The sequence below is a fragment of the Homo sapiens genome, chromosome 1, assembly GCF_000001405.40.
Source record: "Homo sapiens chromosome 1, GRCh38.p14 Primary Assembly".
Lineage (NCBI taxonomy): Eukaryota > Metazoa > Chordata > Mammalia > Primates > Hominidae > Homo > Homo sapiens.
This window is the reverse complement of record NC_000001.11, coordinates 40,630,555-40,642,608: the sequence shown is the minus strand read 5'-3', so window position 1 is coordinate 40,642,608 and position 12,054 is coordinate 40,630,555. Positions and strand designations below refer to the sequence as shown.

At 49.8% G+C, this 12,054-nt stretch overlaps 1 protein-coding gene across 3 annotated transcripts in view; it reads left to right on the top strand.

Moving 5' to 3' along the window:
* Nucleotides 1-12,054, top strand: part of RIMS3 (regulating synaptic membrane exocytosis 3) — a 71,387-nt gene that overhangs the window by 49,458 nt on the left and 9,875 nt on the right. For all 3 annotated transcript variants that reach the window (XM_047435189.1, XM_047435184.1, NM_014747.3), the window contains 3 exons: nt 653-900; nt 6,552-6,693; nt 9,428-9,540. In XM_047435189.1, coding sequence (XP_047291145.1) covers nt 684-900; nt 6,552-6,693; nt 9,428-9,540 — 472 coding nt within the window. In that variant the 5' untranslated portion in view covers nt 653-683. The remainder of the gene's footprint in view (nt 1-652; nt 901-6,551; nt 6,694-9,427; nt 9,541-12,054) is intronic.

The window sequence follows — 12,054 nt, the reverse complement described above, 5'->3', positions numbered from 1 at the left end:
TTTTAAAAACTGCATGGAAGGGTGGCTGGAAGGGAATAGGCTAAAATGCCTCTCAAGAGTACGATAAAGGGTGATTTTCTTGCTGCTTTGGACTTTTCTGCAGTATCCCCTTCACATAGAAGGACCCCACCAGAGTCTGCACAGGCTGGAGCCAGTTCTGTTCTCCCTGTTATTATTTGCTATGAAAATAATAACCACCAATACTTACTGAATATTTCCCCTAAGCCTGACAGGCACTTCCTGTGCATTATTTAATGTAATCCTTAGAACAATCCTATGAGCTAAGTGCTTTTATTTCACATCTTGCTGAGATGTTCACTGAAACCTCAGGATGTTTGTTTGGTCACAAGTCCACGCAGCTAGTGTGTAGAGGCCTTTGGAATTCAAGCCCGGGCCATGTGACTCCACAGCCTCGGTCCTCTCCATCAAACCGGTCACCTGCAAGGTTTTTCATAGCCATGTGCTAATAGGAATAGTCTCTTTTATTGAGCCAGAACCTGTGCATGCTCTTGACATTTGTTTGTGCATTTAACCTTATAGCCTCAGAGAGGTCAAGTGACTAGCCCAAGGTCACGCAGCTAGGAAGTGGTGGGACTGCAGTAGATTCATCCAGGTCTGATGTGGGATCCTTTTGTTTCCTGCCCATCTTCAGAGCTGCCTGAGGCCCTGCCACCCCGGGGACCATGTTTAACGGGGAGCCAGGTCCTGCCTCATCTGGGGCCTCCAGGAATGTGGTGCGGAGCTCCAGCATTAGCGGTGAAATCTGCGGATCCCAGCAAGCCGGGGGCGGGGCTGGGACCACCACCGCCAAGAAGCGGCGGAGCAGCCTGGGTGCCAAGATGGTGGCCATCGTGGGCCTGACTCAGTGGAGCAAGAGCACACTCCAGCTTCCGCAGCCTGGTGAGGGGGCATGGGACATCACGGGGTAGAGGTGGGGGACACTTCGCAAAGACAGACTACCCAGGGACTGCCCTGATGGGTCTGCACTTCCATGCCCACAGACACTTATACTGTGGCCCTTCCCATACACCAGGTGCTGTTCTAGGTCCAGTAGGTGTATGGACTGATTAAATCTCCATGGAGCTCTATGAGGCAGGTACCAAAGAACAGAAAAGGGAGGTCAGATGCTTCAAACTGCACAACTAGTAGGTGGTGGAGCCTGGATTCAAACTCTAGCAGTTGGGCTTCCTAGCTGATGCTCTTAACCTTTACACTCCACTGTCTCCACACACAGACATTAACCAGTAATTACTTATTAAACAGCCTTATGATCCTGGCACTGTGTAAGTGACACCACAGTTTTACAGACATACACATCCATAAGATTTAGTCTCAAGTGCTGGGTGCAGGGTTCACACCTATAATCCCAGCACTTTGGGAGGGAGAAGCGGGAGGGTCACTTGAGCCCAGGAGTTTGAGACCAGCCTAGGCAACATAGTGAGACCCCCTGGTTTAAAAAACAAAAAAGATTCAGTCTCGCCTGTAATCTCCTAGTCTCCTAAATACAAATAGCCACACAAATGCAGTTCTGTAGTCCCATGTATATGTTACAAAGCACAAGGGAGACACACACAAAGATGTGTGACTTGTGCAGTTACATAAATAGAACGCTCAGTGTCTCTGGTAAGCTGCCCGTATTTCCAGGGAAGCATAATAGAGTAATTCACACTGCGCATGGTCACAGATAAAACCAGTCATGCAAACCACACAGACACAGCCCTCTGATTACACATGCACAGACCCAGATCACAGAAACATGTCACATGTGTGCAGGTGTACATCACAAAGCCACATTCACACACACCTTAACAGCTCCATCCTCATCAATACAGTATCCTTTTTCAGACACCTAGCTGCAGAATCTCAGTTATGTTCAGCCTGGTGGGTGACCACCTTGTGACATACATAGACCCCACATCACAGAGGAGCCAGCCCTCCCCACCAAGACCTCCTCACTTTGTGGTATCAGCCCAGACACCAGCTGGTTTTGTTTTAAAATCTCTTCCGGCTTATTTTGTTCAGAGTAACAACTTCCCCAGAAACCTTCAAATAGGCAGCTGGATGGGATGGTGAGGGGGCGGGGGCTCCGGAGGATCCAGGGAGAATGCTCATCAAGGCTCCCAGTTGGGGCTGGGGGTGGGGGACTTTTCCAGGCCTTAAAATAGATTTATACAAAGCCGTCGACAGTAGCACGTGGGCTGGTCTTTTCCAGCAATCAAGCTGTGATGTGGTTTCTCGCTGGGGAAAGCTATTATAGGTGGGGAAGGGGCTTGAGGTTATCAGAGCCCTAGAGTGGGCATGGCCTCTGTGAATATGCAGTTTAGGCCTGGTACTAGAGAGTCAGGGAGATGGGGACTTAGGGATCTAGAAATTGGGCTGGGACAAGGAAGGGGCTGAGATAGGACTAAGGAGTGAGATTAAGATTAGAAGGTCGTGGAGGTGTTGGACCCCGGGAGTCTGGCTCCAGGGGACCAAGCCCAGAAATCCAGCTGATTCAGCTTCAGACCCAAAGGCTTCTTCATGCCCAAAGTGATTTGGGGGGACAGTCTTCCAAGGCCAGGATGGGGACCTGAGTCACTGGGAGAACCTTCTAGTGGTCTGCCTTGACTTTACAGGCTGCAGGCAGGGATTGGAGCAGATACCAGGAAGACCTTTCATCTTGAGAAGAGATGAATGATGATGGGGCTTCTGAATCCCTTGTCTCCTTGGTATGCAAGGGCATGGCTAAAGGACTGGAGCTAGGGGAACTGCCCAGATGCCCTTCTAACTGAAGGTCTCTGTGAATCAGCTAATTGCTGAATGTGAGTGAGGAGAGTCCCTTGAGATCATCTAGTACGCTGTACTTATTTTATTGATGAGGCATCCAGAGCCTGGGGAGAAAGCATGTTCCTGGAGAACGACCTCAAGTTCAGATCCATCCCCTGTCATTTACTAGCCGGGTGACTAAGGCAAGTTACTTCACCTCTCTGAGCCTGCTGCCTTGTTTGTAGAATGAGGGCAATGATACATGCCTTGCAGAGTTATCCAGGGAATTAAGTGAGATAGGGTATGCAAAGGCACCCAGCTTCATGCCTGGCACATAGTATAGGCACTCAGTGAAGTGTTGATGCTGTTATTATTACCTGCCATTGTACCATAAAGCCAAAAGAGAAGTGAGTTCTCAGCCTCCACACCTCTGCTCCTTCCCTGTAGCACGTTCCTCTCCATCTAGAATTCCTTCTCCATTTTTTGCCCCCATGCCTTGAGGATGCCAGTATCCCAGCTCGGACCCACCTCATGGGTGGGAGCATCTGGTGCCAGAGGAATATATGAGGCAGACTCATGGGCATTGGCTCTGGAAACTGTTCTGGGAAAGACCTAGAAGGGTGCCCCCACTCCTGACAGATGAGATGGCTCCATTCCCTGCAGGGCTGGGCTGTGTGAAGTGGGGAGGAATTCCTCTCCTGGACTCTGTCTTCTGGGCTCAGGTCTGCCCTTCCCAGGGCCTCCTTCCTCCTGGTGTGTCCGTACTGTGCAATGGCTAGACCTCTGCCCATCCTTCTTTGTTTCAAAGCCCCTGCCCTAGTACAGGACCCATAATATCTAGCCTGGACGATTGCACCACCCTCCTCTCTAGCTCTCCTGCCTCCTGCCTGCCTTCTTCCAGTTTATTCCTCTTGTTGCCCTAGAGTGGACTTACAAAAACTCACTTTAGAGGGCTAGTCCTGGCTCTGTAACTCACCATGGGACCTCGGGAAATTTACTTTTCCGCTGGGCCTCAGTTTCCTCTTCTGTAAAATGGAGCTAAAATGCTCTCTCCCAGTTTCCTTCTGGATCTGACATTCACTAAGTCGTGGGAGCAGTGAGGAGGGTGGGGTCAGAGCTTTGGGTCCAGGACACAGGTGGGTTCTGGTCTGGCAATTGGCTGGGTCTACACAGGACCATCCTGGGCTGTCCCAGCCCCTGCCCAAACGGAGCTAGTATTTTCAGTACCAGGGACAGTGGCTTTCCCCTTCTGGACTCTGGGATCTGGGTCAGGGTAGAGAGAGGGCTCAGGACCATTCCAGAAGATGCCATAGGGAGTGGTGGTACAGGCTGTGAGTGCCCCTCCTTTGTTTGTGATGGGACAGATGGGATGGTTCCTGGAGTCTTTTGGTCTCTGGAGCCCATAGAATTATTGCAAGCAACTGAGAGAGAGATTATATAAAGTTATTCCTTAAATCAGCAGGGGTTGAGACTATTCATGTATGAAGCCAGTGGAGGGATCGTATGGACATGTATGAAGCCAGTGGAGGGATCGTCTCTGAGATTGCAAGAGCTTTCTCCTCCCTCTGAGGTCATGGAACTTAATCTCTGCTGAATCACCTCTCAGCTAGATGGGGGATTGGGAGGGGAGTGAAAAGAGCATGACAGCAGACTGGGAGTCTGTGGGCCTGATCTAGTCCCAGCTCTCTCGGCACCTGAACCTCAGGCTTCCCATCTGTGAAATTTGGGGGAGGGGTAGCCAAAGTATCTCTAAGATTTCAGGATTCTGTGACTCCCCGACTCAGGGTCTCACATTGGGTTGGACAAGTCTTATCAAAAAGGCAAATTTGCTCCCAAATGGGTCAAAGTTTCCCTAAACTCTGAAAGAGGAGGGTTGGGGTCATGAGGAGGTGACCCCAACTCAGGCTGTGTGTTGTGGGGTAGAGATATGAAGGCGAGGGAGCCCCCACAGACCCATCTGTTTTCTAATTGTGTTAGAGAGGATGTAGAGTTAGGAGCCACGGACAGGGAGAGGCCCCACACACCAGCATTTTTACCCAGGCCTCTGTGTGTGAGGTGAGTCAGACACCATTTGTGGGTTTTCATCAACATATGTGATTGAATGGGAGGGTTCAACTCCAAGTGTTACATGTGAAGATCATGTGTCTGTGACTTGACTGAAGGTGGCAGAGTCCATCATGTGTACATGTGACCAAGACCTGGTAGGACCATTTGTGACTGTGTGACTGTGATATAAACCTGCATGTAGCCTTGTGTATGAGATTACTGTATTCATATATGTGATTGCTGCTGCTCGTGCATGTCTGCCTATGCCTCTCTTTGTGAAAAAAATATGTATGAGCTAATGTGACTCTGTGTGTGTGTGTATGAGAGAGACAGACTGACATGTTGATGGTGTCATGGATTCCTGAATATGCTATTCCAGTATCCCAGAAGCTGGGATGATTTCAGAGAAGGCATTCCTCCTCACCCTGCACCCTGTTCTCAGCCTGTCCCGCCACCCACCCTTCCATCCACTAGTGATCCTAGACCTCTCTGCCTGCCCTCCTCCAGTGGGGACTTTCTGAAAGATAAGCAGACGAAGCAGGAGGAATAAAGTCTTCCTTTTCCCAGGCTGGGGTCTTGAACATCCCCTCCCCAGCCCACCATTGGGTGTGGTGGGAGAGAATTGCCAAGGTAACCAGCTCCCTGCTCCCCACTGTTTTCAGGGGCTGTGCTGCCTGTCCTGCCCTGGCCTCTCCCCCTCCCTGTAGGCAACTCCACTGTTAATTCGCTTGGCCTCTAACCAGTGACAGCAAATGGTTCCTTTGGTGCAGTTCCCATCTGAGGGCCAGTTCCCTCCCCATCAAGTTCCTCCAGCTGCCAAGCTTCAGCGGGGGAAGTCCCTGCAAACCCTCAGGCCATCTCCCCCATCCGCCCCCCGCCAGGAGGAGAGGGTGTCTAGAGGGACCACACTGCAATGCCGAGGAGGTTGCCATGGAAACCCAGGCAGGATGGTGTGCTGCTGGGAGAGGGAAAGTGTCCCATGTTCCCTGCAAGGCTGAGGGGGAGGCCAGGATATGGGGGTCGAGGGCCTCTGAACAGGAGGCACGGAGACACGGGTAAGTTCTCACAGGCCAGCTTCGGGGTTCTTCTGCAGACCTTTTCTCAAAGCCAAAGACAATTTGGGTCAACCCAGCAGTCCCTCTCTGTCTTGTTTTCCTAATGGCCTCTCCAGCTCTCCACACACGTCCTCTCCATGTTCAGCCCCACCTAGAGAAGGTGGGTTTGTTTGAGAGTGGCCAGGCTTCCCATGGGGGCTTTCCTATAGAGCCTCCAGAGGTATCAGAGGTGAGTTGTGAGGTCTGGGTGTGATAGGGTCTGAGGGTGCCTGAAAGAGGGAAAGTCAGTCTGAGAATCCCAGAGAAGATGAACTTTCCAGAAGAGAGTGGGAAGAGGCACACTTAACCTTTGGGGCAAGGGCTGAAATCGAGTGGGAAGGTGGGCGTCAGGGGAGCCTGATGAGGGTGAGGCGAGGGCCCCAGCTGCGGATCTGCGGCTCTGCGTGGTGGCGCCATCATGACTCTGCCTGCAGCCATCTTTCTAGTCTGCTCTGTCAGTGTCACTGCCCGGAGCAGGGCCAGGTGTCAGGCTGCAGACCAGCTCTGAGGTCAGCTCAGCCATGCCCCTGCCTCCAGTCAGAGCCCTGCTCATCCTCCCCATCAACCCCCCATGCCAAGAGAGTGACTTTGGCAGGACTCTTAGAGAAGCCCCATTCATAATCTGACCTTGTTCCCTCTCTGTGCTTGGGGTTGGGGGGGTCACAGAAGGGGCCACCAAGAAGCTGCGCAGCAACATCCGCCGGAGCACGGAGACAGGCATCGCGGTGGAGATGCGGAGCCGGGTCACACGCCAGGGCAGCCGGGAGTCCACCGATGGGAGCACCAACAGCAACAGCTCCGACGGCACGTGCGTGCAGCCCCGTGCTGTGGTCCCCTCCCTCCTCCTCGGTCCTCCAGTCACAGAGCCACTGGGCAGGGTGGGAAAGCCTCCCTGTTTTGTTTCCAGCTAAAATGTCTGGGTCCTCTGTGTCTCTGCCTTCCTTCATACCCCTCCCCTCAACACTCTGTGCCTGGACCTCAGGTCTTCCATTGCTCCCATTGGAATATCCAGATACCCAGGAGCTATCAGTTCCTTCTGTATGTTTCAGGAAGGGACCCTTACCTCCCACCTCCCACCTCCCACCACGCACACACTGCCCTGCTCCAGAGGAAAGGGTGGAAAGGAAAATGTGGCCCTAAAATCCTTTTAAATCTAAAACCATTGTTGTGGCCCAGATGAGTGGAATTTTCTCAAGGAGGCTTGCTTAGAGCTGAGGGAAGGAGATTGGACTAGATCAGTGTTTTTCAAACCATGGATGGTGACTCATAGACAGGAAATAAAATAGGTTTAGTGGGTCAAAACCAGCATTAGAAAAAGAAATAGACATATCTTATGAAGTAAGAATAAATTGCCTCGTGAACTTTTGTTTCCATTTTTTATGTATAGATGCACACAGGTCTGTCCTGGGTCATGATGTTAAATCTCCTTTCTTACATGTAGGTTGCATTAAAAAATCTGAAAGTCACTGGTTTAGATATTCCCACAGATCTCTTCTAAGTCTATGAAATTATAGTTGTATGACTAAGATTTTCTGCTTCTGCTTCAAGGCCTAGTGACTTCCAGGCTTAGGATTCTGTGGCTCCCTCGTTTGAGATTCAGTGATTGTGTGTCTCACTGCTGCACCTACTTCCATGAATGCGAGTGCTCTCAAGCATTTATTACATCTTCCCAGGTGCAGAGCATGCCTGGGCATCTCAGATAGGTGATTCTTACACTGGAATCTGCTGGCTGTGATCAGACCAGGAACAGTGATCGTTGTTTTTTTTGTTTTTTTTTTTTTTGTGATGGAGTTTTGCTCTTGTTGCCCACGCTGGAGTGCAGTGGTGCAATCTCAGCTCACCACAACCTCCACCTCCCAGGTTCAAGCGATTCTCCTGCCTCAGCCTCCTGACTAGTTGTGATTACAGGCGTGCACCACCACGCCTGGCTAATTTTGGATTTTTAGTAGAGATGGGGTTTCTCCATGTTGGTCAGGCTGGTCTCGAACTCCCAACCTCAGGTGATTCGCCCACCTCAGCTTCCCAAAGTGCTGGGATTACAGCCACTGCACCCGGCCTAACAGGGATCATTTAACACTTACAGCAACCCTGAGGGTTGTGGGTATTACCATTATCTCCATTTTACAAGTGGAGAAACAGGGAGAGGAAGAGGGTGGGCCACCTTACCCAAGGTCACAGCTATTAAGTGGTGATGGAGTCAGAATTGGAATTAAGGCCATTTGATTCCATGACCTTTGTTCACAATCTCCACACTATATCCAGCTCCTAAAATTCTGTGACCTTGAGAGTCTAAGTTTCTTTATTTAACCTTCTCAGATATCATTGTCCTAAGAATGTGATATTAGGCTGTTGTTGACCATGGCCAATAAAAGTGGGGCCTTGAAGCCCCTCCCTGTGGGGTGGAGGCTGGGCCTAGTCAGGGAGAGACACAGGCTCTCTCTGACAAGCATACACAGCCTACTTTTTCCTCCCTGCTGGCCGCTAGCCAAGGGGGACTCAAGGCCAAACTATCTAGTAGGAGATTCTTCCTTGGACAGCCTTTTATCTCTGCAGCCAGGAGCCTGGGCCTTTCTAGGAGATCTTAGAACTTTATTCTATCATAGCCCCTGAGGGTTGGCAGGGCCAACCCTCCCTCATCTGTCCTTTCTCAGCTGGCCACACCCAGAATATCTAGACTGGAGCACAAAAGAGAAGTAGCACTTTTCCCTTGATGATAACAACAGCAGCAACCGGAACTATCATTTAGTGCTTTCTGTTTGTCTGGAACTTTTCATTTGCCCTAATCCTCAACATATAAAACCCTATGAATTTTGTTTTGCAGGCAAGGCAATTTTACCTTTTGGAGCCTCTGTTTTCTCATCTGTAAGACTGGATAATAGCTCCTACCACACAGAGTGGTTGTAAGGATTAAAAGATATAACCCATGTGGAATTTTTAATGTACCATTGGCACCTGGCCAGTTGTCAATCACTGTCAGCTTTTCTTGTTACTGTTTCTAGACCCCCACACAGTCATGGAACAACCACCAACCACCATCACTTGCCATTCACCTCAACCCTGTAATTGTGTTATTTTGGTCTTAGCTGCTGTTCTGGGCACCACCTCATGTTTGACTTGGATTTCAAACTTGCAGTCAACTCAAACCTCAGTTCTTGTAACTTGTTCCAGGCATTGAAATTTCTGACCTATGTCTCTGGTTCTTAGCACTGATATGCCCTGGTGAGGACACAGGTGTCCAGCAAGCCCTGCCTTGTAAGGGTCACTTCAGAAGTCCCTGGACATTAAGGATTAAATAGCATCATTATGTATTGTTATTAGTTTATTTTCTCAAGTGACATCAAAGTATTTTTCTTCAGTATGCAGAAATAAACAGTTCTGTTTGTCCTTTCCCAGAGTAGTGCAATCATACTGTTTAGAGGAGAAACTGAGGCACAGAGGGACGTGCCCAGGGCCCCAGGGCCAGAGCATGGCAGCCTGCCAGCTATACTTTCATCCTCAGGTTGCCCTGACCCCCTCACGCGTCCCTCTGCCTCCTCCTGCAGGTTCATCTTCCCCACTACCCGGCTAGGGGCTGAAAGCCAGTTCAGCGATTTCCTGGATGGGCTGGGACCAGCTCAGATTGTGGGGCGACAGACACTGGCAACACCACCCATGGGTGAGTCTTATTAAGGGCAGGTTGAGTGGGGTAATGGTGACCATGCGACAGGAAGGGTGAGCTCAGTGGGGGCCCTGCATTGGCCATCGTAGAGTTTATTCTATCACCAATTCTGTGATCTTAAGCAAGTCACTTCCCTTCTTTGAACCTCAGTCTCCTCATATTTAAAATGGGAATAATAATACCCACTTGAGTTCTATGCTCTAACAATACTTTACTGAGCTCCTATTAGATGCTTTGCATGAGGTATTTCAATTTAATGTGTAGGAACTGTGGCTTATTTGACTTGTTACACCCAACAGCGCCTGGCACCTAGAGGCCCTTTAGTAATTTTCTTATCGCTTTTCCTTGCAGCTAGGAAGTATAGTTGGCCCTCTGTATCCATGGGTTCTGTGTTTGTGGATTCAACCAACCTTGGATAGAAAATATTCAGGGAAAAAAAATTCCACAGAGTTGCAAAAAGCAAAATTTGATTTGCTGTGTGCCGAGTACTACCCTGAATCCATGCAAAGGAAGTGATATGTAGGCATTGTGTTAGGTATTATAAGTACAGTCATTTTCAGTGTGTGAACATCATAGAGTGTACTTACACAAACCTAGATGGCATATATATATATATATATATATATATATATATATATATATATATAAATTTATATGTATTTTTTCATATGGAAAACCGTATATCCTAGCACCATTACTGAATATCAATCATGTCCCCTATTTGATCTGCAATGCCAATATCAAGTACCATATATCAGGTTTCTATATATTCTCCATTATAATCTTACGGGCCCACTGTCATGTATATGATGCATTGTTGACTGAAATGTCATTATGCGGCACACCAGTATAATCTAGAGATGATTGAAAGTATATGGAAGAAGCTGGTTGCAGTGGCCTGTGCCTGTAGTCCCAGCTGCTCAGGAGGCTGAGGCTGGAGGATTGCTTGAGCCCAGGAGTTTGAGGCCAGCCTAGGCAATATAGTGAGACCCTGTCTCAAAAACTGAATAAAATAAAGCATATGGGAGGATGTGCATAGATTATATGCAAACACTATGCTATTTTTATTATTTTATTTTATTTTATCTTCGAGATGGAGTCTCACTCTGTTGCCCAGGCTGGAGTGCACTGGCGCAATCTTGGCTCACCATAACCTACCTTTACCTCCCAGGTTCAAGTGATTCTCCTGCCTCAGCCTCCTGAGTAGCTGAGATTACAGGCATGTGCCACCATGTCTGGCTAATTTTTTGTATTTGTAGTAGAGACGGGGTTTCACTGTATTGGCCAGGCTAGTCTGGAACTCCTGACCTCATCCACCTCAGCCTCCCAAAGTACCGGGATTACAGGCATAAGCCACTGTACCTGGCTGCCATTTATTTATTTATTTAGAGACAGAGCCTCGCTCTGTCACCAGGCTGGAGTGCAATGGCACAATCTCAGCTCACTGCAACCTCCACCTCCCAGGTCCAAGCAATTCTCATGCCTCAGCCTCCCGAGTAGCTGGGACTACAGGCGCACACCGCCACACATGGCTAATTTTTTTTCTTTGTATTTTAGTAGAGACGGGGTTTCACCATGTTGCCCAGGCTGGTCTTGAACTCCTGAACTCAGGCAATCCGCCTGCCTTGGCCTCCTGGCTGCCATTTTATATTAGAGACTGGAGCATCCAAGGATTTTGGTATCCCTGGGTGGGGGCGAGGTAGGGTTCTGGAACCAATCCCCCATGGATACTGAGGGATGACGGTACTACCTGAAGCCTACGCTTGGTCCTGTTAGCTTCAGTCTGGCCCATTTCATGAGCTCTCAGACAGAACCTCCCTGCCCCCTCCCTCTCTTAGGTGTTGGCTGTGTTGGCTTCCAGCAGCTCCTCCCCAGGATAGCTCCTCCAGAGGTGCCTCCTCGCCTCCACTCCTTTCCCATCAGTCTGACCTGAGCAGCACCTGACCCACACGTCCCCACTCAGCCCCCATCAGGACAGTGCTCAACCTTTGACCCTCCCAGCAAATGAGGAAGCCAAGTGCAGTGTCCTGCTGTGAGTCATGCAGTGGAGCTGGGGTTCCACTCCAGGCCAGGACTCCTTCCACTGCAATGCCCTCAAAAGCTCCTGCCCAGGAGCTCCTGCCTGCTGGAACAGGAGATGATGGGGACCCTCAGAGGGCAAGGATCAGCTGAAAGCAAAGGCTGGGAATTAGCCAAATCCAATTCTAGGGCTGGACCCTTGTTTTCAGTCTCTTAAGGGTCTGGGGAGCCTGCTTTTCCCAGCCCTAGACCCAGCCACAGGCTGGGCAGCAGTGAGAGGAGCCAGCCACTTCCACAAGGCTAATGCGCCATGGCAGCCGGGACCATTCGTGTGTGGTACCCCCTGGTGTCAGACCAGGGAAGGACAGGTTTGCCTTGCTCACCTCGGTAGTGATGTTACTGGAGATTAATTCCTAAGACCTTCCCTTCTCCCTTCCCCACAAGGAGGTCAGGAATAGCTGGATGGAGGTGGATGAATTCCAGGAGGTCTCT